The following is a 27,777-nucleotide window of genomic DNA, read 5'->3' as shown; positions in this document are numbered from 1 at the left end:
AATAGGAAAAATAAATTTTCAAAAATTTACTACAATTTTTATCAGTGTTTCTTCTGCTTTTATTTTGTTTTTGACTCATATTTGCTTAATCCATGTAAATATGTCCCAAGGAATCCAATTACATTTTTTCGCAGATACTTTCTTTTTCCTCTTGGAGTGGCTGTAGGTGAAAATTTTTCCTGATATTTTTCACAAGTTGTTGATTACTCCTTTGAAATACCCTGTGATGCTCTGTAGTCACTTAATAGCTAGATATATTTGGGAGAATATACTATGCATAGGTTTTATGCCTGGAGACTTAGTAGTTACCACCTTTCCATTTAACTACTTACACTTACGAATGACAGAGAAAGGGACATTTTGTTTGTTTGTTTTTAAGAAAAGCTCTATTAAAAATAGCACATGCTTATAAAGCAGAGCACAAAAACATAGGTAACTCCTTTTTAAAAGATCACAAATGGCCGGGCATGGTGGCTCATGCCTGTAATCCCAGCACTTTGGGAGGCTGAGGCAGGCAGATCATGAGGTCAGGAGATGGAGACCATCCTGGCAAACATGGTGAAACCCCGTCTCTACTAAAATACAAAAAATTAGCCGGGTGTGGTGGCGCGTGCCTGTAGTCCCAGCTACTCGGGAGGCTGAGGCAGGAGAATAGCTTGAACCTGGGAGGTGGAGCTTGCAGTAAGCTGATATCGTGCCACTGCACTCCAGCCTGGTGACAGAGCAAGACTCTGTCTCAAAAATAAATAAATAAATAAGATCACAAACACAATGAAATGCTAGCAATCATCTTGATTTAATAACTCTGAAAGAAAGGTTTTATTTAGAGAAGGGTTAAAGAAATTTATTTGAAGTTCCACCAACATCCACATCTACCTATCAAACACTAATCTTGTAAATGACTCTTTGGAATCTTTCCTGGCATCCTTCTCCCTGACTGGAAAGGATCACTTCTATTGTGTCCCACATCAATATAGCATTCCTTTGACTACTTCTCTTTTTACCTTTCAGTAGAGTATAAACTCTTTCAGAATAAGGTTGTAAGGTGTCACATATCTAGATTCTAATATATTGCCTGACAGTTTGTTGAATGAATGAATGATTTATTCTTTCTCTCGAATTCTATTATCGCAATATATTCCGATTTTTTTGTTTACTTCTTGATCTTAAAGACAACCCTGTTTGATTATCTTCTTCAGATTTACAGTTTGGATTCTGAGAACATCATGAAAGTTTGAATTTGAACTTGTTTGTTTTCTGCTTCATGTGAAATCCTTTAAGTGGAAACTTACCCTGATGACTCTATCCAGGCCTTTATTTATTCATCTTGTTATCAGGAAGCTCACATCCCTTTATCCCATTAAAAGAAAAAAAAACATAAACAAAACTCTTTTTCTTTCTACATCCTCCCAACACTTCTGACATCAAATGTGTGTTTTGCATACCAAGCAATTCTCCAATTATCTGCAGACATGAACTGGGTGTCTGACAATTTAACTCAGTTTTGGCACTAACTGCCTGGCATTAGCATAGTCCCCGCAAGTCAAATGCCACAAGACTGTCCCCAATTTCAGATGTAAGTCCCAGGTTGTGACTTGTACTTCTGACAAAGTGGCTATAAATCAGGGGTTCCATGGCCCCAACTTCAGGTTTGATAATTTGCTAGAACAGTTCACAGAACTTAGAAAAGCACCCTAGCCATACTTACCAGTTTATTTTAAAGGATACAACTCAAGAACAGCCAAATGAAAGAGATGCTTAGGACACAGTATGGGGGAGGGCACAGAACTTCAGTGCCCCTTCTGGGCACACCACCCTCGCAGCACCTCCATGTATTCACCAACCTGGAAGCTCTCCAAAGCCCATTGTTTACGCTTTTTATGGAGGTTCCATTAGGTGGGCACGATTAATTAAAGCATTGGTCATTGGTGATTGAATTCTATCTCCAGCCCCTTTCCCCTCTCTAGAGGCTGTAAGTTCCCACCCTCTAATCACGCAGTTAGTTCCTCTGGCAGCCAGTCCTCATCCTGAAGCTCTCTAGCAGTTTTCAGCCTCAAATCATCTCATTAATATGCAAAAAGGCACTCATCACTGGACAGTCCAAGGGTTTTAGAAGATCTTATATCAGGAACCAGGGACTAAGACCAAATATATATGTATATATTTGTCACACCCATCTTTTCTTTGGCTAAATGAAGGAAGAAAAAATAAAAAAGGAAAGAAAAACATAGTTTTTTTTTTTTCCTCATGATGTCCCAGTGAGAAGTCTCTCTTAATGACTATATTATTTACGTAGAATGATAAAGACTGGTAACTAGCCTAGCAACTCATGGATCTACCCAAACTTCCTTATACATTTTATTATTGTTTATTTATTTTTACACGTAAAAAACTGGTTCATAATACGTGTACACTAACTGGGGGCATCAGAACAGAAGAAGGAGGGATATGAGCACTGAGAAGACAACTAATAATTGTCCACTGCACAAGATCTCTTTAGTGAGCATCAAAGTTAGAAGATGAAAGGTATGTATGTAATCCAGGGCCTTATATTTTATCAACAAAGATTAGTGTTTGGGGGAATTTCAGTCCAAAAACTGAACCTAGTTTTTTCTCCACATCATGGACATAATAACTGTTATAAAATGCTTTGTTGCCTACTGAATAGCAAATAAAGGTCAAACCCTTTAGCATGGTATACACTGCCTTAACAGTCTGAGTCCAGCCCAACCTTCTAGTCCCAACTCTTGCCACCATCTCTTTATTTCCTTCCATGCCCACTCATTTCAGATTTCTTATTTTATGCCTTTGCTCCCTCTGTTTTCATTATCTGGAAGCCTTCCCTCCTCACCTCTCTCTGCCTACGTCAGAATTAGTTGTGTGCCTTATGTGTATTCTCAAATAGCATTGTATATATACATTATATAAAAATACATTATACAGTCATTACTTAACACCTGTAAGTTTTTCCTAACATTTATCATAGCTCATATGTATATATGCATGCAATTACATGATTAATGTTTGTTTTCCCCACTAGACTACAAGCTCTAGAGTGCAGAAATAAGTCTAATTTAGTCTCTCTTGTATCCTTAGTATTCACAGGTAGTAAGTGCTCCATAAATATCTGTTGCTATTGAATGTTTTTAAAAATATGAGAGACAGTGTGAAATAGTAGTTAAGATTGCTGTTTCTGTTATCAGATTGCCACAAGTCAAATCCTAGATTCATCACTTACTATCTGTGTGACTTTGGGCAGGCTCCTTAAATTTTCTGTATCTCTGTTCTACCACCTTTAAAATGGAAATAGTAGTACCTATTTCATAGGGTTTTTAAAATTGAAAATGAGAATAGATAGATAGATAATGTTTAAATATTATGCCTACCATATAGTAAGCACTCAACAGTTAGCTATTATTGCAATTATGCTTATTACTAGAGGTAGGAGTCCATGTGCCTCTTTTCTTGCTAGACTATCTACTTCTTTAAGACTACAGCCAGCATCATTAATGATGTCAGGGCCTAGTCCAAGGCTCAGCATGTCATAGTCATTTGGTAAATGCTTATTAAATTGTTGTTGAATTTGAAGAATGCTATTTAAGAATAAACCACTAGGATAGTTTGATAATGACTTGTCTTCCCAAGTTCCACAGTCTTTTATTATTTTTATTAATTATGAAAATTAATAACTCTCACTTCTGTCATTTATTATGTGCCCAGTCTATTCCAGGCAATAATGATACATGGATTATTTCGTTTAGTTTAGTTTTTTTTTTTTTTTTTTTGAGACGGAGTCTTGCTCTGTTGCCCAGGCTGGAGTGCAGTGGCATGATCTTGGCTCATTGCAACCTTTGCCTCCCGGATTCAAGCGATTTTCCTGCCTCAGCCTCCTGAGTAGCTGGGATTACAGGCATGCACAACCATGCTTGGCTAATTTTTGTATTTTTAGTAGAGATGGGGTTTTGCCATGTTGACCAGGCTGGTCACGAACTCCTGACCTCAGGTGATTTGCCCGCCTCAGACTCCCAAAGATGTCATTTAATTTTTATAATAACTTGTGAGGTGTAGGTTTTTCATTATACAGATGAGGCAGCTGAGCCTCAGAGAAGTTAAGGGACTTACTCCACATCATGCAGCTGGCAACAGAGAAAAAGAGAGTTTAAAGCCAGTTTCTCCCTATAAATGAATATGTTGTAAAATAAAGTGTTCACCTATATATATGACAACAGAAATGGCTTTAGTTCATTGAGAATGCACATTTTGTAAAATAACTGGTAATGCCTCATGGCCTTGTCACAATGAGTGGCGCCCTAATGGAGGAAACCTCACTGATTCCTGGCCTTACAATTTCCAGCTGGCTTTGTGGACAGGGTTCATTAGTCTCAGAGTTTGGCAAAAGGAGTGCAAAACATTCCATCAGCTTCCCTTGTTTATAGTAGGGCCTACATTAAAAGAAAGCTTGGATTAGGAATAAATGGCATTTGTTTTATCCCTTTAATCATTTTCTGGCAGTGATGCTCACAGTACACATTCACAAATACACACAGATACAAATGTGCTGTCCTGTTCCCCAAAACAGCACCTTCAGAAGAACCTTTCAATGCAACATCCCTTCACTATTATTGAGGGAATGTGGGAGGTGCTTCTTCCCCACAACCCAAATGTACCTTCACTTGTGGATATATCATAGAAATGCAAACAGATCACCAGATAATTGTGGTACTTACTATTCACAATCATAGATGAAAGAATTATTTCTAGACGTTTTCCAGAAGAAGCAGCTTAACTACTGCTGAACAGTGTAAGTCTTACAGCACAGAATCCTGAGTATTCTCATCCTTCCCTGAGGCGTTAATGCTCATTCCTGGGAGAAATCTGGGCTGCTTAATTTTTCCCCATAATATTTATGCTAGAAGAGTGAGATAATATTTTAAGAACACATTAATCAGGTTATCAAAAGCTGTTTTCATGTTTGATTAGTGCTTTGATGAACTTATTTAATAAGTACTCAGAAAAACACAATGCAATTATTTTTTGAATGTATTATTTTTGGTCCACTTAAATATAAAGAAACCTGTAAGGAAAAACTAGCTATAGTTTTATAATATATGATTTATAAGTACATTGCATCAGCTGTTTGAGGCAGCAAGGGAGGGGGAAAGAAGCAACAAAGGAATTACTGAATTTGTTTTTATAAGGAAAATAGTATTTTGAATATTCATTAATTGCCTCTTCTGTGTTGAAGACTTACAGGCAGGAGATACAAAAATGAAAAAGACACACTTGGAAATCACTCACTCTAATAAGGACAACATGTGGAAACAAGCTATTACAGCACCAGAATAAAGAAGCTAATAGTGTCTGCTACCTTAAAATCCCAGCCCCCTCTAAAAACAACACTATACCCACTCCTTGCCTATCTTAGTACCTGAATGCAGCTGGTGAAACCCACGCAACTAAGCTGAGGTCCTGGTCTAAGGACATGGCTCTCAACCTCAAAAGGGCCCTCATGCTGGCAGTCCTGCTCCTTCCCCTCAAGCCCTTCATGCTTCCTCTCTTGTAAGCAACTCCTTCATACATTCTCCTTGGCCATTATGCCTCCAACATCACTTCCTTCACCGCTTCACACTCAGAGGATGACCTTGCTTGCTGTTTCACTGAGAACATCAGGAGACAGCATCCACCTGCTCCCACACTCATATCCCTCCACCACCTGCCTCTGGGCCCACAGTGTTCTTCCTTCTTCCTTCCCATCTCCTGGACGGGCTGAGAGTCCTGACTAAGATCAGCTCCTCTCCTGTGTGCATGATTCCATCCCCTCTCACCCACTCAAGAACTCTCCCCCAATTTTTCCTCCTTCCTCCTCCCTCTCCTGGGTCACCAGTTTGATGTCTGTCTATTGAATCATTCCCATTTGCATAGAAATATGCTATAATGTTTTCCATCTTATTTGAAAATAAAAACAACCCTCCTTTGACTCTTCAGCCCTCTTTAGCAATCGCCTCTTTCCTTTGCTATTCTTCACAGCAGAACTGCTTGAAAGAATTATACAAGCTCTCCTTTGAAAATGGAGAAAGAAAAAAAAAGAACTATTTAAGCTCTGTGTTTTCACTTCCTCTTTTTTTGCCTGGAACCCACTCTAATCAATCCCTACTACAAAATGAAACAGCACATTGCCAAATTCAGTGGTCAGTTCTCAGATTTCATTATTCGCCCTGTCAGCGGCATTTGACACACTTGATCTTCCTCTTTGTTGTAACAGCTTTATTGAGATATAATTTATATACTGTAAAACTCACCCTTTTAAGGTTACAATTCAGTGGTTTTTCATGTATTTACAAAGTTGTGCAACCATCAACAATATCTAATTCCAGAACATTTCATTACCCTCAAAAGAAACCCCATACCCATTTGCAGTTACTTCCCCTCCTCCATCCCCTGCCAGCCACTAATCTATTTTTTGTCTCTCTGGATTTGCGTGTTCTAGACATTTCCTGCCAATGGAATTATACAATATGTGTCCTTTTGTTTCTGCCTCCTTTCACTTGGCATAATGTTTTCAGGATTCATCTATGCTCTATCATGTACTTCATTCCTTTCATTACTGATCGTATTCCACCCTACAGATATACCACATTTTGCTTATCCATATGTCAGTTGATGGACATTTGAGTTGTTTCTACTTTTTGCCTACCATGAATATTGCAGCTGTGAACATTAGTATACAAAATGAAATGTTTTACTGCAAAATTTTATGTAACAGAATGAAAATTTGTTAAAGTCTTCTACCTTAATTCCTACACTGCTCAGTATAAACGATTACTTTTTGACTGAATTTTTTCCTGATAAAAGACTTAAAGTCAGAGAATTGAGCAAATAACTTTGTAAAATAGCAGATGGAACTGTGTCGAGATTAATAAGAAACCTCACCCTACTACCATGTACAGATTTACCTGAGTAGCTTCTAAAAGGTGAGGCTTCCTTGAGCCCAAGTCTCAGGACATGGGGCTCTACCATGGGGCCATATAGTTAGAGCCAATGTAGTTTCTTGACTCATAGTCATGCATTAATAATTCTTTTACTCTATAAATTCAGATTCTTGTGATCTCTGTACCGTAACTATTTTTAAGTGGCAGATTTTGAAATTGAATATAAATGAAAGTTCTAAAATAAGAGCAATGTTTACACAATAGAATTAATATATTTTATAGTATCAGCTGATTGTTAACATTTCAATGTTTCTAGGAAGAAAGTAGATGCTATTATTTAGTTTCTTAGTCATTATACAGACATTTAGTGGTCACCTACTGTTTGCTAAGTGCTATTCTATGAGGCAGGGCTATAGCAGTTAACAAAACCCACAAACATTTCTGCTGGAATGGCACTTCCCAGTTTGCAGAAGAGAGAGGAGCTGAGAGGGGCAGAGTTGAGGAAAACAAAGAACTAAGGAGTGTTACTTGCTTGGGCCACACTGTGAACCTGTAATTGATTTGATCTCTTATATTTCAAGATAAGCTTTTTTTTTTTTTTTTTTTTTGAGGCAGAATCTTGCTCTGTTGCCCAGGCTGGAGTGCAGTGGCACAATCTTCACTCACTGCAACCTCCGCCTCCCAGGTTCAAGCGATTATCCTGCCTCAGCCTCCTGAGTAGCTGGTATTGCAGGCATGCGCCACCATGCCTGGCTAATTTTTTTTATTTTTAGTACTGACAGGGTTTCACCATGTTGGCCAGGCTGGTCTTGAACTCCTGGCCTCAAGTGATCCGCCTGCCTTGGCCTGCCAAAGTGCTGGGATTACAGGGGTGAGCCACCACACTTGGCCTCAACATAAACCTTTTGAAAAGTATAAAATTTCTTTTTTCTCATCTATGCGTGATTTTTCTAACAAAGTTAAATTGAGTTATGCTAAAATACAGACTTGCTCTAAAACTTGGATCAAGATGAGATTTTAATTAGTTATAACTGTTTAACATTGTCCCATTTTTACTATTACAAAAAAAGATAAGCATGTGTAAGAAACTACTCCCCTCCTAAAAATATATATTCCCTAAAGCATGTTAATAATTTTCTCAGAAAAAAAAATGGAACATTAATTAGCTAGCACTGTGGCTGGCACAGGAGAGATTCATTAAATTATCTATGAGGAGAGTAGCAGCAGTTTAGTAAACAAATCTCTTTTTTGGAAAGCTAAATGAAACTTTTTTTAAGCAAAAACAAAGGCTTTTTTATGATTTGGAGTTTTTGTGGTCTTTAAATTAAAACTATGTATCTTTTTTTTGTAAATTCAGAACTAAGCATCTCTTTTCTGATACTTTGTTATTTCACATTTCTTCTTATGAAGATTATGAGTTTAACGAACATGAAAGAGAGGCAAGAAGCTTTGCCATCTTCCATACAAGTGACAGGTGGAGGAGAGAAAAGGCCAAAGAGAATGAGGAGGACTGGTTAACTTTCTTGAGAAAATCTAAGTGTTAAAAGTTAGTGCTACTTCTTTTGTCCTTCGATCTCAATCTTTCATAATCATTTAAGCCTTGAATATAATTTTCTGTCCTTTCCTAATCACTTCTCAGAGTACCTGATGAAGAATATGGAGTCCATGAAAAGAACACAGTTAGAGTTTGGGTTTTTTGGTTTTTTTGGGGTTTTTTGGTTTTTTGTTTATTTGTTTTGGAGGTGGGGATGTTGAGACAGGGTCTCACTCTGTCACACAGATGAGAGTGCAGTGGCATGGTCACAGCTCACTGCAGCCTCAACCTCCTGGACTCAAGCCATTCTCCCACCTCAGCTTCCCAAGTAGTTGGGACTACAGGTGGACTCTACAAGGCCTGGCTATTTTTTTTTTAATTATTTTGTAGAGACAGGGTCTCATTATGTCACTGAGGCTTGTCTCGACCTCCTGGTCTCAAGCAATCCCCCCATCTTGGCCTCCCAAAGTGCTAGGATTACAGGTGTGAGCCACCATGCCCGGTCCACACTTAGAGTTTTTGTACTTTCAAAATGCCAGCACAGCAACTGAACAGTGCTTAGGGTGACTCCTAAGTCTAAACTATCAGTTTATTATGCCTAAGCTTTTAAAAATTACTTACTAACAATACTGTCTCATAATAGCTTACTAAATTATTATTTTAAATTTTCCTGCAGTTGACTCACAAGCACATTACTTTTCTGGGAAGAAACTTTTAAGTGGAGAAACCTTCTACTCCTCCACAATGAAAAGAAGCTGTCCAGTAAACGAAATCCCTCCTGCTTCATGTCCACTTAGCATGGCAGATAATTCGTACTCTACACTCTCCTGTGGAACAGAGAGCCTTACAGCTTACTGTTGTATCATCACAGTTCTATGATGGCAATGTATAAAAATTAAGATTGAGGCATGATATTTTAATGTCTTTTTTATTTTCAGTCACATTAATTTATCAGGGTTAATTAGTGCCTGGTATCACATATTTTTTTTTTTTTTGGTGATGGGTTCCTTATTCAATTTTTAAAGATTAGACCATCTTAAAATATTTTTAGTGTTGACTGTGACAATTTGTTTTTTGGCTTTCAAAACAAATTATTGTGTGTTTTAAGTATGATGACCCTAGTTTTATTGGAGGTATATATCTACCTCCTTTTGCTTTTTTATTTGCTAAACTAGCTCATACTGTATCTCATAAAAAGTACTTTACTATCTTATTTAAAACTTTGTAAGTATTTTAATGGCTGGGTAATCCTTTATCATGTGTATATGCCATAATTTACGTATGATAGTAATTTGGTTATTTAGAATGCTTACATTTTCATTCTATTATAAATAAAAATATGATGAACATATCTTCCATCTAGTTTTGTCCTCAAATTTGATTTTTTTCCTAAGGCTATGTTTCTAGAATGCTTCAACAGGTGCCAGAGAAATAAATTGAAAGAAAAGAAAAATTTAACTTCTAATACCCAAAAAAGAAAAAAGAAAATCGTTGCATTATGGTAGGTAGTATGAATTTCATTTAAAATGCCATTTATTCTTGCAATTCCAACATTTAACATGTAACCAAGTATATAGACTAGTGGTTAAGCACAGGTACTGAGGCCTGTCTGGGTTCTGATGGTAACTCTGCCACTTACTCCTCGGAACAAATGAAATTTTTTGTGCCTCAGTTTCCTCATCTTTCAAATGATAATAATAACAGCTCTTGACTCCTTGGGTGGTTTTGAGAATTAAATGGGTTGGTTTATGTAAATCTCTTGGAACCATGCCTGGCACAGAATAAGTGCTCAGTAAATATTAATTATAACAGCAGCAGCACCAGGATTTAAGAGAATGTTTTCTAATTTTACTGTCTCAAAGAACATTCATTTGTTTTTATTCCCATGGCATGTTAAATACTAAAGCACCTTAAAAATGCCACAATTAGAGCTACTGCGCACTTGCAGATACATGCATGGAATGTATTCTTTTTGAGATTCCTGTAATTGTTTGTATTTTAGTTGTACACATAAATCACACAGCGTATACGTAGATCTTTATCTCAAATAGCCAGTGGCAGAATTCTTATGAGCAAAGTGTTCATCATAGATGGTTTGGGGGATTTTATAGTTTTTACCTTCACATACAAAAGTTACTAAATGATCAAATAAATGAAGAAATGAGTAAAAGAAAGAAGCAAAGTGTGGTGTGAACTAGTGGATGTCAGTTATAACTACAGTGGAAAGAGAAAGCTGGCCTCCCCAGTCTGTATCCCCAACCCTTGGCCATTTTGCTGCTTCAGCCACATGTTATGAGAGAGGCTGCAGGTATGTCTTTCCAGCACATTCACTCCATTTATTACGGTAAGGCTGTTGGCGCGATTTGGAGTCCCTGACTAGCAGGGCTTGCCTGAGCCTCATGGAGCCACTAAGCAACTCTTGCTGAGATAAGGTGGGTCTAAATGGCCTCCTGGGCCCACTTCTTGTCTGTCTTCCCCTCGATTAGAATATGTTTTATAAAAGCATGGAGTTTTCTTTTATATTAGTCAGGGTTCACTAGAGGGACAGAACTAATAGGATAGATGTTTATTATGAAGAGGAGTTTATTAGGAGAATTGACTCACACGATCACAAGGTGAAGTCCCACAATAGGCTGTCTGCAAGCTAAGGAGCTAGGAAGCCAGTCTGAGTCCCAAAACCTCAAAAGTAGGGAAGCCGATAGTGGAGCCTTCAATCTGTGGCCAAAGGCCCAAGAGCCCCTGGCAAACCACTGGTGTAAGTCCAAGAGTCCAAAAGCCGAAGAACTTGGAGTCTGATGTTCAAGGGCAGGAAGCATCCAGCACAGGAGAAAGATGGAGGCTTGAACACTCAGCCAGTCTAGTCCTTCCACGTTCCTCTGCCTGCTTTTATCCTAGCTGAGCTGGCAGCTGACTAGATGGTGTCGACCTAGACTGAGGGTGGGTCTGCTCTTCCCAGTCCACTGACTCAAATGGAGTCCACTGACTCACAGACACACCCAGGAACAGTACTTTGCATCCTTCAATCAAGTTGACACTCAGTATTAACCATCACAGTCTCCTCATTTTAACACCATGAAATGTTGTCAAACAACTGTCCTTGTGCTTGCTTTAATATGGGCAGGGAACTAAATCTAAATGTGAGATTTTTGGCTAATTAGTTTGAAATCTTACTGCATTTTCAGTGGTTTTATTGATTTTTCATGTCTACTCTTATGAAAAATAATCACATGCAAAAGGAGCTCCTTAATGAAATATATAACAGCGTATATTTTTACTTTCATGTTCTTGCTATTAATGTTTTTTTAAAAAAGTATTCTTGGTATTCTTGAAAATTGCTAAAAGAGTAGATTTTAAGTTTTCTCACCACAAAAAATGTATGTGAGGTAACGCATATGTTAATTATCTGTTTAACTGTTCCACAGTGTATACATATTTCAGAACAACATGTTGTACAGGATGAATATATATAATTTTTGTCAATAAAAAAGTCAGTCTCAGCAAATATGGACTACAGAAGTGTTTTTGTACGTTTATAATATTTAAAAATTTTTTCCTTGCTTTCCTGATTTTATGAGCTTAAGAATGCTCTGCAAAGAAATGTCATGAAAAATTAATTGTCAGTCACCAGATTTGGGCAAATTTTATGTAACAACAATAATAATAAAAACTAGCTTTTATTGAGTTCACTTTGCTCTATCCTAAATATACCTTTTTGCCAAATTATGTTCATATATTTTGTTTGCGTGTGTTGTTTGGTTTTGTAAATTAATGTTATTTTTAGTTGACAAGTCATAATTATACATATTTCTTCATATATTGTTTTTATATAATCTTCATAGAGGCATGAATTTATTCAATATTTATGTTCATAATTATTCCCATATTACTTTTAAAAATTATCTGTTTTATTAACTATCCTCTGGGATAGTCAATGTCTTAAGAATACCTTGTGGTTGACAAGTGGATTGTCTCACAATAAGTATTTACTAATAGATCCAAAACTTTGCTAGACTTTATGGTAAAAATGTTAATAAGAAGAATAAAAGAAAGGAGAGAGAAAGAGATAAACAATAGGAGGAGACTATGATCTCTATTTGCAGAGAACCCATTGAGACCATATGACCTAGAAACATGAGAAAACTTAGATTAAAGTATCAGGCAATGTGTAATCAAGGGTAGACTATGTGGTAGTGTGTTATGGAAATTCAGAATTGGGAAAGGTCATTAAGACCTGAAGTTAAGTCCAGGCGCCGTGGCTCAAGCCTGTAATCCCAGCACTTTGGGAGGCCGAGGTGGGCAGATAACTTGAAGTCAGGAGTTTGAGACTGGCCAGGCCAACATGGTGAAACCACATCCCTACAAAAAATACAAAAATTACCCTGACTTGTTGGTGCATGCCTGTAATCCCACCTACTCAGGAGGCTGAGGAAGGAGAATCGCTTGAACCCAGGAGGTGGGGGTTGCAGTAAGCCAAGATCACGCCACTGCACTACAGCAGCCTGGGTGACAGAGCGAGACTCTGTCTCAAAAAAAAAAAAAAAAGACCTGAAGTTAGTTAGAGAAAGTCCACTGGAGTTATCTCAGCCTCTAAGGAAGTTAGGATTGGTTTGGTTTTAAGCAGTTGAGTGGCCAGCAATGAGCACATGACATTCCAGATGTAAGGACAAGCATGGGAAAAATCCTAGAGACAAGAAAAAGCTTCCAGTGTACCAAATACAATTGATCCGAGGTTTCTAATTTTTCCTACAATTCTGGCATAATATTTTTTACATTTTAAAGGAAAAGAATATTGATTGTATTCATATTCATTCTGATCTAAAATAAGAGAACATGAAGGTATTTTGGTGGCTAGAGGGAACATAACTTCAGACACAGTCTGAGAAGTCAGTACCCCCGGGATTCATTTGGGACATATATTACCCATGCATTCCAAGATAAAAGAAAACTAAAAAGCTTGTGTTTTTCCTATTTATTACCTTAACCAAAATTTTATTAGATCTTACTTTGCCCTACAAAAGAGGGCTACAATAGAAACCATCAGCAAATTTGTGTTTTGCTTATTGGTAGTAAATATTTCTGAATACCTTTCAGACACTGGCATCCTTTATTCCAGTGGTTCTTAGCTCTTTTTTTTCCTGCCTCCTTCCAACTATTTTTTATTTCCTTCAATCCAAGTTGCCAGTCTGACATACTCCCATATCATTTCTCATTACATAGAATGATTATTCTAAGGAGGGGTGGGCCTGGGGAAGATTTCTGCCAGAATAGAAATGTTCTCGGTAGGGTATATAAGGTTTGAATGTTCTCCTTGGAAATATTTGTATCTCCCCTTCCCTGTGCCCTTTGCTATATCATTTTTATATGTAGTTTAAATTTAATTTTTAGCTTGATATTTTTCTGGGGTGTTATAAATTGGATTATTGCAAAATTGGAATAAATTGTCTTTTATCATAAACTTAATTTGAAAGACTTTAACATTTATCTAGCTCTCCCCCACCCCTCTTTTTTTTTTCTTCTAGATCCCAAAATCCAGGAGTGAGGGATCTATTCAGGCCCACAGAGTACTGCAACCAGAGCTATCTGATGGCATTCCTCAGCTCAGCTTGCGGCTAAGTTATAGAAAAGCCTGCTTGGAAGACATGAATTCAGCAGAGGGTGCTATTAGTGCCAAGTTGGTACCCAGGTTGGCATGTTTTCTTTATCTACACAATCCATATTGCATTATTCGCTCTTATGTTTAGGCCCGCATATGTAGGTATTTCTGCATTGATCTGCCACTGGAGTTTACAGGATATAGATCAGTAAAGATACTTAAAATTCACTCTATGTTTTGAGAATTTTCTGACTAATAGTTCTTATCACAGAAGCATTCTAGTTGTTTTGTTTTCCAGATTAAAACAAGTGATTTAATCAACAGAAGTTATGTTAGGCTCACAGTTAAAGTTGAATTGTTATTTTTGGATGCTTTTTCATAGCATGTTCAGTAGAAAATATCTGCAATTTAAAGTGGAGATCGAAGTTGTCACTAGAACCAACTCTCACAAACTAATTTTGAGTGTTGCTTTTTAACCAGTATGTTGCACATTATAACTGAAAGCAGACTTCTCTGGTATACTCGAAGAAAAAAAACTGCAATTTTTTTTTTTGAGACACAGTCTCGCTGTGTTGCCCAGGCTGGAGTGCAATGGCGCAATCTCGGCTCACTGCAACCTCCACCTCCTGGATTCAAGCAATTATCCTGCCTCAGCCTCCCAAGTAGCTAAGACTACAGGTGTGTGCCACCATGCCCGGCTAATTTTTTTGTATTTTTAGTAGAGATGGGGTTTCACCTTGTTGGTCAGGCTGGTCTTGAATTCCTGAACTCAAATGATCCCTCTACCTCGGCCTCCCAAAGTGCTGGGATTACAGGCATGAGCCACCACGCCCGGCCACAATTTTCTTAAAATAGGTAAATTTGGGCTTGAATTTTATTTACTACTAGCTTGAATTTTATTTACTACTAGAATTACTATAATTCCAGAAATTATATAATTTTCATTTTAATAATATCTTCTATTATAACTTATAACCTATTTTTAAAATAAAAATACTCCAGGAAGTTGAAAGAAGACATTAAACAGAGAAATAATTTAGTTAAGGAGCTTGCCACTTTGTATTGCCTTATAGAAGACATAGCATTTGGGCTGGATCTGATGAAGATAATTTAGATGGCGAAGATGATAAAGATAATTTAGATAGGAAGAGAAAGAAGACAAGAGTATTGTAGATATGCTTACTTAGGAGGTATAACAGGTATTTTGGAAATTGTAAACTGGAATTAGTTGGAGATAAGGCTGGAAAGGTGGAGTGAGGCCAGGTCATAGAGGACCTTGAATGCCTGGTTCATGTATTTTTTCATTCTTTCATTCGTTGAACAAATGTTTGGGTGGTTAACCTCTGGTTCCACGAACTGCTTTAAGACTGGAGATGCAGAGCAATGAACAAAACCAACGAGGCCCCTGTGTTAAGGAACCGTACATTCTAATAAGGAAAGCAATAGAGAGAGATGATAGAAAAAAAGACTGTGAGGAAGATGATTTCAGCTCTAATAAATGAAAGATATTAAGAAATTATAACAGTTTAATAGACTGATGCAAAGATCATTTTAGTTTGAGTAGTCAGGGAAAGTTTGTTCTGAGACATAAGGAGGGGGAGAAAGTCTGTAAAAATCAAGGAAAGAGCATTCCAGGCAGAGATAATAGCAAATGCAAAAGAACCGAAATAGGAGAACCTCGATTTTATCCCAGAGGTAATACGAAGCCAATGAAAGTTTGAGCTGGGTAGGGGAGGTGATAGATACCATAGGGAGTTAGTATATTAGGAAAAGTAACCTTCCATCAGTGTGCAGGATAGATTAGAAGAGGTAGAGTTGGGAGGCAATTGCAGTGTTGGTTCCTTCAACAGGTGTTAATCTTTATTGAAATCTAGTTATATGGCATTTACTAGAAAGATGTAAATCTCCCACTTGGGGAGATAGAAGATGAATGAATGAAAATTCAATAATTTGCCTTAAAGACACATTTACTACATGCCTATTATGTACTAGACACTGAAATCATAAATAAGATTCAGGCGCTTCTCTTGAGAAACATAAAATACAATTCAAAATACATAGAAACATAAAATACAATTCAAATACAATACAAAACACATATGAGTTTATCAGGCAGGGAAATAGAGATAAGGGTGCCCCTGGAAGAAAAAGCAACAAATGTGAGGACGTTCAGGGCAGTGAGGACAATTTGGGGGAGAACTGCAAGTGTAGCAGTGGATTCAGGACATCTGCAGTTTACAATGTAGAATGTAGGGGAAGGTAAAGGTGAATTAAGAGACTAAGCTAAATAGGTCAGATCATGAAAAACTATATCCCATATTTGGATTTTCTCTTGAAAACAATAGGGAGTAATTCTAGGAATATAAGTAGAAAAATGATATAAATTCATTTGTATCTTATCAAAGATCCCATGACAACCATGGAAAGGAAAGGAACAAGGAAAGATGAAAGTAAGAGGTGCTGGTAGACCAGCAAGCAGGCCTTTGGAGCAATTCAGCGCAAGTAAGAGCCTTCCCGAAGTCATTGTCACTTACTGAGAATGAGCAGGTGTGGATGAGTCTTTGTCCCTTGAAGGTGTGGGAGAGAATAGACTACTGCTTACAGGAGGGCTTGGTCCAGAAAGGGTTGGAGTTTTTCAGTGTTTATTGTGTTTCATCTGGGGTTTTTAAATATTTTAATGAATCAAATGTAGGCACGTTTAGACGCTTAATGGGCAGAGCCAGTGGAGAGGAGAAGCTGATGTTGCAAGCCAGGAGGTAATAGAACAAGGACCTACAGGAGGGAATCCAGAGACCAGCTGGCCATATCTTGTGTAACGCAGCTTGAGCGCTGTACAACCACAAGGACACTTTCCACATTATAGCTTATGTGAACAAACAGTGCTAGGCAGGACACCTTCTGCATGGTGGAGAGAGAAGGTCATAAGCAATAGAAGAATTAGCCTTGGCCAATGAGGAACAGTTGGAAAAGAGTAAGGGGCACAGATACAAAATACTGGTCCTCTTTAAAATCAGAGTCAAGTGGCTAGGTGACAAGAGCTAGTGTCAATGTTATTTTGCCAGATTACCTTGTAAAGAATTATGTCAAAAATGCCTTAAGTGAAATAGTAAAAAGAAAAATTCAAATGTTTGTGGTTTATGTAATTTTTTTTTTTTTTGGGACAGAGTCTCACTCAGTTGCCCAGGCTGGAGTGCAGTGGCTCGATCTCTGCTCACTGCAATCTCCGCTCACTGCAAGCTCTGCCTCCTGGGTTCACGCCATTCTCCTGCCTCAGCCTCCTGAGTAGCTGGGACTACAGGCGGCTGCCACCACGCCCAGCTAATTTTTTTGTATTTTTTTAGTAGAGACGGGGTTTCACCGTGTTAGCCAGGATGGTCGCAATCTCCTGACCTCTTGAACCACCCGCCTCGGCCTCCCAAAGTGCTGGGATTACAGGCGTGAGCCACTGCACCCGGCCTGTTGTTTATGTAATTTTTATTCATCCAATCAGAAAATGAAAATAAGTTTCCTGCTTCCAAGTTAACAAGACTCTCCTTTTGGAGAATGAATCAGTATTTCTGAGATACAAATCAAGAAGTGAGGTTATGGAGAGAAGGAACAGCTAGCCATTGCTGTAGCAACTATTTGTTCTTCTGGTTGGCATATATTATCCCCAGTTAAAACAAATGCATAGCTGTATTTATACATTTCTTATATTTTTTCTAGTTTGTTTGTTTTTTAAGACAGGCTTTAACTATATTGCCCAGGCTAGAGTGCAGTGGTGCAATCTCAGCTCACTGCAGCCTTGACTTCCTGAGCTCAAGCGATCCACCAATCTAACCACCTTGGCCTCTCAAAGTGCTGGGATTACAGGCATGAACCACCATGTCCAGCCCAACTTTCTAGTTTCTAAAAGTAGAGCCAGACAACCTTAAAGGTCTAGATACAACAACATTATCCATGTTTAACCTGGCCACCTCTATCACACAGAAACTTTTTCAACTTCCTGTCTCTATCCATAGATCTACTGTATCTGTGAAGAGATGTTTACTTTTTAATTTGATTTACCTCCTTGTGAGACAAATTATCAAAAGATAATTGGAGATAATTAAAAATAAATTTTAAATCCTTTATATATCTTTGAAGTAACCAAATCATGTTAAAAGTGTAACATAACGTAATCATATTTTTATTTCAAAAATGAAATTATGAAGCTCTTTTCATTTGCAGTTACTTGCCAGAACAAGTTATTGGCTAGTTCATATATTTTAAATTAAAAAATAAATGTGCATGTGTGGAAAATACACAGAGCCCACAAAATCTTTCTCCAAATCTTCTACTTAACAATTTATTATTTGTCCTAGTCTTAAATGGTAATATCACTTGGTAAAGTTACTAAAAGTCACTGAATTGTAGAAATAGGTGGGTTTTATGATTTGTAAAATATACCTCAATAATACTGTTTAAACAAATACAAATGCAAACAAAGTTGGAGTGAGGAGGGATATGCTTTAACAAGAATGTCACTTGATTACGAAATGCTAAAATATAGCCATTGTTATTAAGCCAATGCTGTCTGTAGAGAGAGTTAATGTTTGTTACATTTTAAGAGATTTTTATCCTTCATACTTTTCTTTGACTACATCAGAGCATGGTGGCAGGAATAAAGGTCAGGTTCTCACGAAAGGTGATTCCTAAGGAGGGAGAGGAAGAGGGGGAAAAGCTCTTTGTTTTCTCATCCTGGCAGGATTCCAATTTGTAGCTTACTGTACTGTCATCAAAAGTTATTGAAGTAATCGGTATTTCGGGGAGATGTTAAAACAGAAAGAAGAAGCTGAAACATCTTGGAAATTTCATAAAAAATCATAGTTCCATTGTTTGTAAGCAGAAAAGTTAACCAGTTTGCTACTGGGATTAAGACAAGCTCTGTGATTCTAGGAAAATTGTCATTAGGTTTGAGTGTAAACAGAACTTCATGGCCTTCTTTCAAGGTACTATAGATAAGCTGACAATTAATGAAAGTTTTGTACTCGGTTGTCTCATAAAGAGATTAATATTAAATGTTTTTATTTTCTATAATGAGAATAAAGAAATAGCTACCACTATGCCAAGTATTTATCTAAAATAATATGAAGAATATATAAAGAAAATGTCTGCTTATGTTACAGGTGTGTTCTTAATTTGATAGATAAATGGGGGAAACATAATAAATCACTTTTCAATGTATATTAAAAATAAATCTTACCATGGGACAGTGTGTTTCAGATGAGAGTTGTTCTATTCTAAAAGTACTTTCTTATCTATTTATTCCTTTTCCCAATACTTTTTCATTATTTAGAAAATACATTCTTCTTAAAAAATTTGATACATCACTGATGGCTAAAGTTCCCTTTGATTCTCTTGCTTCATGATTCTAATTCACTCCTTTCTCCCCCAGGGGTAACTGCTATTACAGGTTTGATAATGTGTTCTTCCAGACTTATCTCTATGGATTTCCCCAGGAATGTATCTCACACATTTTTTCAATTTTTTTTAATTCATTATAGTAAATGTATTGTGGTGCTTCACAGATTCTTGAAAATTCTATTTCCTGTATTGCTTCCTCCTGCTGCGATGTTCCTTCCCTCGCCCTTCTGTCCAAAATGCAGCGTCCTCAAAGTCTCCTTCCTGGGCTGTCTGCTCTGTCTGTCTGCTGTTCCTTCCATGGCTAATCTAGTGTCACAGAAGGAAAAAATAAGAAATCAGTATCTCAGGCCTGAGCTCAGTCCTAGTTCTCCAGTGGCTGCCAGACAATCTCCACTTCAGGATGTACCTTAAACTCACTATGCCCAAACAGAACTCACTCTCATTTTTCCCTCTCAACTTTGTTCTGTGTTTCATTCTCCCGACCACCAGACTCAAAACCTTTTCTATCATCAGTCACCAAGCCTTGTCAGTGTTTTTTTTTCAATGTCTCCAACATCCTTTTCCTCATTTTTTCCCTCGTGATCCTCAACCCTAATGTAGGTCTCCATCACCTTGTGGTTAGATAATTATTATATTTTATCCATTCCACTAATGTACTGGATTCATTTTTGTCACACAAATTATTCCAGTGCCTCTGTCTTCAACTCTTAACTCTATATGTGATGGCTTCTGGTTCTGTGTTTCCCATTCAGAATTTTCTACTGAGCCACATTCATGTCACTCTAACTAGCAGACTTGTCTTCCCAGTCCCTCAGATAACCCAAACCCTTCCCCTACTCCTTACCCCTGTCATCCAGTCATAGCCAGCCAACTCCAGAATGCTCTTTGACAACCTCACTGCTCACTGTCTTTATTTGGCCCCATAGCTTCCTCACCGCTTACCATCTCTGTAGACACGGAGTTTAAACAGACTCCACTCCTGCTCAGAACTATATAATGGCTTTCTTGTGCCTAGCCTACAAGGAACCGCTTGCCCTGCCCTCTACCTGCCTCTCCAACTGTCTTTCCCCCAACTCTATGCTTGTCTTTTCCTCATACCTAGAGCCATCAGAGAACCCACACTTTCCAGGACTATCTTGGTTCCAGATAGTCTCTTCATGATCCGATCACGTGTCATATTTTGTCTTGATATTTGCTTTACAAATTATAATAATCCTATGTATAACATTTTTTGGCTATATCACACTTCTGTCAGGCAGCCCTGTAATAATAATGTCAGATCTGCAAAATGACCTTGGATGAAGAACCCATGATTCTGAAAAGGTTGTTCATTTCACAGACATTTATTGAGTTAGGTGAATTATCCAAGATCATGTAGTTATTATAGAATCAGGCTGAGATTAAATACAGTTTCAGGCTGTGATTATTTCACTATTATTTCCTACCTGACTTCTACCTTGAGTTCCTTTCCCACATAAAAAGTATGTGTTTATATTTTCTTTCCAACCTGATTATGAGTTTCTGAAGAAGAGAGACTGTGTCTAAGGTCTCTTTTGTGTCCACGCTAGTACTGAGGGGGCATGTACTCAGTTGCTGCTGCCGTAGTTGCTATTGTGATATTGTTACATGTGCCCAATTTGAATTTGAATTCCACCGTCAGATGAGAACACTGACCTTTCTTCATCTAGCTGACCTAGACCTAGGTTAGAGATTGAAGTCTGACTCTAAAATAGTATAATTTTTTAATGTGTCAGTTTTCTCTCTTCAGGTCCTTGGAAAGTACTGACCCAAGGGAACCCTGTACTGCCCACCCTTAGAGATACTACAGAAGCCAGGACAGCCGTGCGCTCTCATTGTCCCCACATCATCGCTGTCCATCTTGTTGCATGTCTGTCCATCTCTCTGGGAGAAATTCATTGTTTTACAAGGCTCGTAACATTTCTCTGCAGCTCTCTGCACTTGTGGCAGAAAGTTTGTGCCTTGTGACACTTGTCAAAGAACACTTTATAATTTAATATTGTCTTACAATAGTGCATTTCATGAGAATCAGACTTTCAGCAATATTAATCATGAATCAGTGTTCAACAACATTAACTGTAACCATTGCCCTTCAAGGTATCTAATCTGCAATTAAATATGACTGACTTCATTTCTGAAGTCCAGCCAGCAAAAATGCAGTCATAACTATCCTGTGTTTGCACTTCATAAAGGGCACTCCAATTACTTCCTGAACATGTGTTTGTTCCCTTACAGTGTTTCACTCTCTGCTACTTGGAGCCAAGTTTCAGAATTTTTTAATTGACTACTGAAGCTGAAATGAAGCAAGGATTCTTAGATACAAGATTTATAATCACGTGTACAATATAATTTGAAAAATTACCAAATATCATAGCCGACTGCGGGGGCAGCTAAAGTAGCACCCATATGAATGAGGGAGTGTCTCAGGCTGCCTTGTGACAAGCACAGCGTGCGCTTCAGCATGCAATTCCCCTGCAGAACTGCCATTTCCTGAGATGTTTCCACTCTCTGGCTTTCATAAGAAAGACGTATTGAAAGGTAGACTCGAAAAGGGCCCCAACCTCTCAAACTGGATTAGAAGAAATATCTAACTCTATCTTTGCATGCAGACCATTTTGTAATTTATTCTTGACCGCCACTAGCTCCCATGAAAAAATATCCCAAGGCCTTAGATAAACTATTTCATATAAGTGAAATATCTATGTAAAATATTTTCTAGGCTTAATTTCAGTCTCCTTTCCAAATGAAAGTCTCCGATATTTCTCTCAGTATTTTGATTATTAAAGAACAAATTGTTCTTTACTCATTCACAAAAATCTGCCCTTCAATACAATTGCTATGACTACTTGAATTTTGACATTTTACTGGAATCCAAACTTCAATTAAATTTTTTTTCTAATTCTGTTTACAGTATGAGTAGTTGATGAAATGGTAGATAAGTAATGGTAAAGAAATGTATTGTCATATCTTCAGATAATTTCTAGTGGCATTTAGATCAACAGAGTATATCTGGACTCCTGTGATCTTAGCTGAATTTATTTTAGTAATTCAAAGTTAACAGATTGTTATTGGGCACAATCTATGTACTGCACATATGCGCTGGGCCCTGAGGGGCCAGACATAACTAAGGTGTGGAGTGTATTGTTAGATGTCTACCAGTCCATTAATTTGACAAACTTATTTGTGATTAACAATAATATATAATAGAAAGATGTTTAAAAGCAGCACAATAGAAGTGATGTAAAAGCAAAGAGGATTTGTTGAATTAAGTTCAAGGTCTTCAAAGGTCTTTAAAAATCTGGCTAAGCCTGCCTTCCTGGTTTACGCTTCTGTGGTTCTTCATTCTATATCTGAGCTACATTACAACCACATTATTTCAAATGTTTCCCAGTAGTTTCACAGTTCCGTATCTCTGCTAACATTTTCCCTTTTATCTGGAGTGTCCTTCTCCCACTTTGTCAATAGTCAGTTTAAATTTCTTCTTGTCTATGAAATTCCCTCTAACTCTTGCACATTTTATATAAATAGAATCACATAGTATGTGTTCTTTTGTGTCTCTCTTCTTTCACTTAGCATATGTTTTGAAGGCTCATCCATGTTGTAGCATGTATCAGTACTTCACTCCTTTTTATGTCTGAATAAATAAATATTTCATTGTATGTATGAACCACATTTTGCTTATCCACTCATTAGTTGACGTACATTTGGGTTGGATCTACTTTTTGGCTATTATGAATAATGCTAGGATGAACATTTCTGTAGAAGCCTTCGTACGGGCATATATTTTCAGTTCTCTTGGGTATAAGCCTAGGGGTGGAATTGCTGAATCATATGTTAACTCTATGTTTAACTTTTTGAGGAATGACAAAGCAGCTGCCTGATTTTGCATTCCTTTCAGCAATGTTTGATGGTTCCAGTTTCACTACATCTTCACCAACAATTGTTACCATCTGTTTTTTTATTATAGCCATCCTACTGGATGTGAAGCGATGTCTCATTGTGTTTTGATTTGCATTGCCCCAATGAATAATGATGTTGAACATCTTTTCATGTGTTTAATGGCCAATACTATATCTTCTTTAGATAAATGTCTTATCAAATTCTCTGTTAATTCTTTATTCTGGATATAAGACCCTTATCAGATATATGATATGCAAATATTTTCTCATATTCTATGGGTTGTCTTTTCAATTTTTTTTTTTTTTTTTTTTTTGAGACAGAGTCTCACTCTGTCACCCAGGCTGGAGTGCAGTGGCGTGATCTCGGCTCACTGCAACCTCCGCCTCCCGGGTTCAAACGGTTCTCCTGCCTCAGCCTCCTGAGTAGCTGGGATTACAGGCGCATGCCACCATGCCTGGCTAATTTTTGTATTTCTAGTAAAGACAGGGTTTCACCATGTTGGTCAGGCTGGTCTTGAACTCCTGACCTTGTGATTGGCCCAGCTAGGCCTCCCAAAGTGCTGGGATTACAGGCATGAGCCACTGTACCTGCTTTTCAAATTTTTGATAGTGTCCTTTGAAGCACAAAATTTTTAATTTTGATGAAGTCCAATTAATCTATTATTTTCTTGTTTATAAAGTTGATGACACATCTAATAAACTGTTGCATAATGTAAGATCATGAAGATTTACATCTGAGTTTTTTTCTAAGAGTTTTATAGTTTTATTTAGGTCTTTGATCCATTTAGGTCTTTGATCCATTTTGGTCTTTGATCCATTTTGAGTTAGTTTTTACATATGCTGTATGGTATGAGTCTAGTTTCATTCTTTTGCATGTGTATATCCAGTTGTCCCAGCACCATTTGCTGAAAAGAATATTATTTTCCCATGGAATTGGTGTTTTGGCCCTCTTGTCAAAAATCTGAACCTAATTTTTCAAAAAACTAATTTAGGATTCTCACTCTTCTCCCTCCCACCTTCATTTTCTGAGAACATTAACTTTCAATTCAATAGAGATATGAGCATGATTTAGATCTACAAAATATAATAGCACAGTCCAGAGGTTTCTATTTTTTTTCAAGCAGCAATCAGGAAAGACTGCTCTTATCCTCCTACCTCCCAAATCTGCCAACATATTCACATCTGCATCCTTATACTCTGCCTTCTCTCCCATTACAGTGGATGAGCTGAACCCGCACCTCTCTAGAGTCACGTACATGTATTCTTGTATGTGTACTCTGAGTCTCATCCCCTCTCGCTCAAGGGCTATGTTGGAGGCTACCTCCATCCTTTATATCATCACTTTCCCCATTTTTTCTAGATGAGTCCCATCAGCAAAGAAATATGCAATAAATAACTCTCAACATTTTTGTAATCCCTCTCTAGAAACCATATTCCTCTTCTCCGTTGGAGCAAATCTCTGATAAAGGATTGTATGTACTTGCTGTCTTTATATCCTTTCCTCTCATTCTTCAATCCACACACCACTTAATGTGTTCTTGTTAAGAACAACAGCCTCTATCATGGCAAATCCAAAGGTCAGTCTACTGTTCTCATCTTACTCTATCTCTCAGCACTATTTGACCCAACTGATCACTCCTTTTTGAAGCACTTTCTTCACTTTGCTTAATGTAACATTACAGTCTCCTGGTTTTCCTCTGGCCTTCCTGGATATCTTTTCTTAGTCTCTTTTGTATAAGCTTTCTTCTTTTCGAGACTTCTCAAATTTAGAGAACCCAAATCTCAGTCCTCTGACGTCCTCTCAACCTATACTCATTCCTGGGTGCTTTCATTCAGTTCTGTGATTTTAAACGCTATCTTTACTCATAAGCCTCCAAAAATTATACTTCTAGCTCTAGCCTCTTCATTATATTCCAGGTAGTTATATCCAGTTGGCAAGACCAGCTACTTAATTTGTTCTCCCCATCCTCCACCCCCCAGGACAACGTTGGGGGGCAGATTTAACAATTATTAAAAATGTTAAGATGTTGACAGCAAAGCATAGGGCCCTTCTGAGTATGGGCTCTGTGAGACTGCACTTTTCTTTTTTTGTTTTGTCTCACTATGTTGACCAGGCTGGTCTCAAACTCCTGGCCTCAAGTGATCCTCCCACCTCAGCCTCCCAAAGTATTGGGATTACAGGCGTGAGCCACTGTGCCCAGCCAAAACTGCACATCTTATATGCCCCTGCCAGTTGAACAAGTCCACTTCAATATTTAACAAGCATCTCACATTCAATCTACACACAATAGAATTCCTAATTTACACCCCTAATTTACATATTTTTCCTTTGTCTATTGACTGTCTATTCCATGAGATTGTAAGCTCCGTAAAGGCAGGAACTTCAATTTTATTTGCTCCTCTATACACTCTATTGCCTTAAAGAGTACTTGTTGAATGAATAAATAGATGTGTGCTTTATTTTTAAAAATAAGGTTTGGCTTTTATTTTTATAAATCTGGAATAGCTAACAGGCTATTTTATAAATAATTGCTGTTAGATCTATAACCCATACCAGGTGGATTACATATTTAAACATAAAAATAAAATAGCAAAAGTATTGGAAGACAATATGGGTATATATGTTATAATGGAGCTGGAAAGGAGTTTCTAAGTGTAGAGTTAAAAAAAGAGGTTTCACAGTATAACATTTTTAGAATTCTGAATGTCAAAAATAAAACAAAAGCCCAGGAACAAAATAAATAACATGATGATAAGAGTATTTGCATTATATAGAGAGAACATTTAATATTCTTTATATAGAGAGAACACAAGTAAAACAATGAAAAAAACACAAAGAAGGGAAAAATGAAAAAATGCTGTGAACAGGAAATTCACAATAGTAGAAGTAAGTGTAATCTCACTAATAATCAGAGAAATTTAATCTGCAACTATAAGGAGCTGCATCTTCCAATGTTTATGAGCATAGAAGGAAATAAACACTAGCTGCAGGTAAAAGTGCAAGTACTGCAGTGAAATTTGTCATTATTTATCAAACAGCTAAAAATGTGTATTTTCTTTTTCTTTTTCTTTTTTTTTTTTGAGACGGAGTCTTGCTCTGTCGCCCAGGCTGGAGTGCAGCGGCACAATCTCGGCTCACTGCAAGCTCCGCCTCCCGGGTTCACGCCATTCTCCTGCCTCAGCCTCCCGAGTAGCTGGGACTACAGGCGCCCGCCACCACGCCCGGCTAATTTTTGTGTAGTTTTTAATAGAGGCGGGATTTCACCGTGGTCTCCATCTCCTGACCTCGTGATCCGCCCGCCTCGGCATCCCAAAGTGCTGGGATTACAGGCATGAGCCACCGTGCCCGGCCAAAATGTGTATTTTCTTTTACACTCATTAATTATCCTAGGAAATTATTCTACAGATATCATTCTCAATGTGCTGAAAGATAGAGCTTCAAGATTTTTGTTCATGGCACTTTTATTTTAGCACTTCTTTTCCATATTCAGTGCTTAATAATATGGAGTCATAAAATAAGCTGTTACAAATTATATTTTGCTGCACAATAGCAGTCTTCAAAACTTTTGTTTCAAGCCCTTTTGGTATATTGTTATACGTAGGTATATCCCTGGGGGTAGGTTTCAGGACCTCCCTTGGGTACCGAAATTCATGGACAACTTAAGTCCCTGATATAAATGACATATTTGCATATAACCTATGCACATCTTCCTGTATACTTTAAATCATCTCTAGATTACTTATAATACCTAATACAATGTAAATGCTATTTAAAGAGTTATATTGTTTAGGGAATAATGACAAGAAAAGAAAGTCTGTGCATGTTCAATAAAGAAGCATTTTTTTTCCCAAATATTATTGATCTTAGGTTGGTTGAATCCATAGATGTGGAACCCATGGACACAAAAGGCCAACTATATTCTTAAATGTTACTGAGAACACAAAGAAATTTCATTTATGTGGGCTATATCTATTGACATATAAATATAACTGAAAAAGGAAGACTTTTAATATGTATTTATCACTGTTTAAAAATAATCATTTTAACATAATTTTGTTTTGTTTTGCTTTTTTTTTTTTTTTTTTTTTGAGACGGAGTTTCCCTCTTGTTGCCCAGGCTGGAGTGCAATGGTGTCATCTCGGCTCACCGCAACCTCCGCCTCCCAGGCTCAAGCGATTCTCCTGCCTCAGCCTCCCAAGTAGCTGGGATTACAGGCATGTGCCACCACACCTGGCTAATTTTTTTGTATTTTTAGTACAGACGGGCTTTCTCCATGTTAGTCAGGCTGGTCTCAAACTCCCAACCTCAGGTGATCTGCCCACCTCGGCCTCCCAAAGTGGTGGGATTACAGGCGTGAGCCACCGTGCCCGGCAAAGGCTGACTATATTCTTAAACGTTACTGAGAACACAAAGAAATT

The 27,777-nt window shown here is 37.6% G+C and overlaps 1 protein-coding gene and 1 long non-coding RNA gene across 19 annotated transcripts in view; both read left to right on the top strand.

Annotated features, from left to right (window-relative positions):
• FAM13A (family with sequence similarity 13 member A) overlaps nt 1-27,777 on the top strand; it is a 331,226-nt gene that overhangs the window by 192,020 nt on the left and 111,429 nt on the right. For all 18 annotated transcript variants that reach the window (XM_047449481.1, XM_047449479.1, XM_011531516.2 and 15 more), the window contains one exon: nt 13,983-14,146. In XM_047449481.1, the coding sequence (XP_047305437.1) occupies nt 13,983-14,146 (164 nt within the window). The remainder of the gene's footprint in view (nt 1-13,982; nt 14,147-27,777) is intronic.
• On the top strand, nt 690-9,814 carry LOC124900732 (uncharacterized). The gene is made up of 2 exons (XR_007058189.1): nt 690-8,475; nt 9,140-9,814. It is a non-coding gene; the product is annotated as an uncharacterized LOC124900732 (long non-coding RNA).

Source organism: Homo sapiens, chromosome 4, assembly GCF_000001405.40.
Source record: "Homo sapiens chromosome 4, GRCh38.p14 Primary Assembly".
Taxonomy (NCBI): Eukaryota; Metazoa; Chordata; class Mammalia; order Primates; family Hominidae; genus Homo; species Homo sapiens.
The sequence above is the reverse complement of the archived record's forward strand: the minus strand, read 5'-3'. Positions and strand labels throughout refer to the sequence as shown.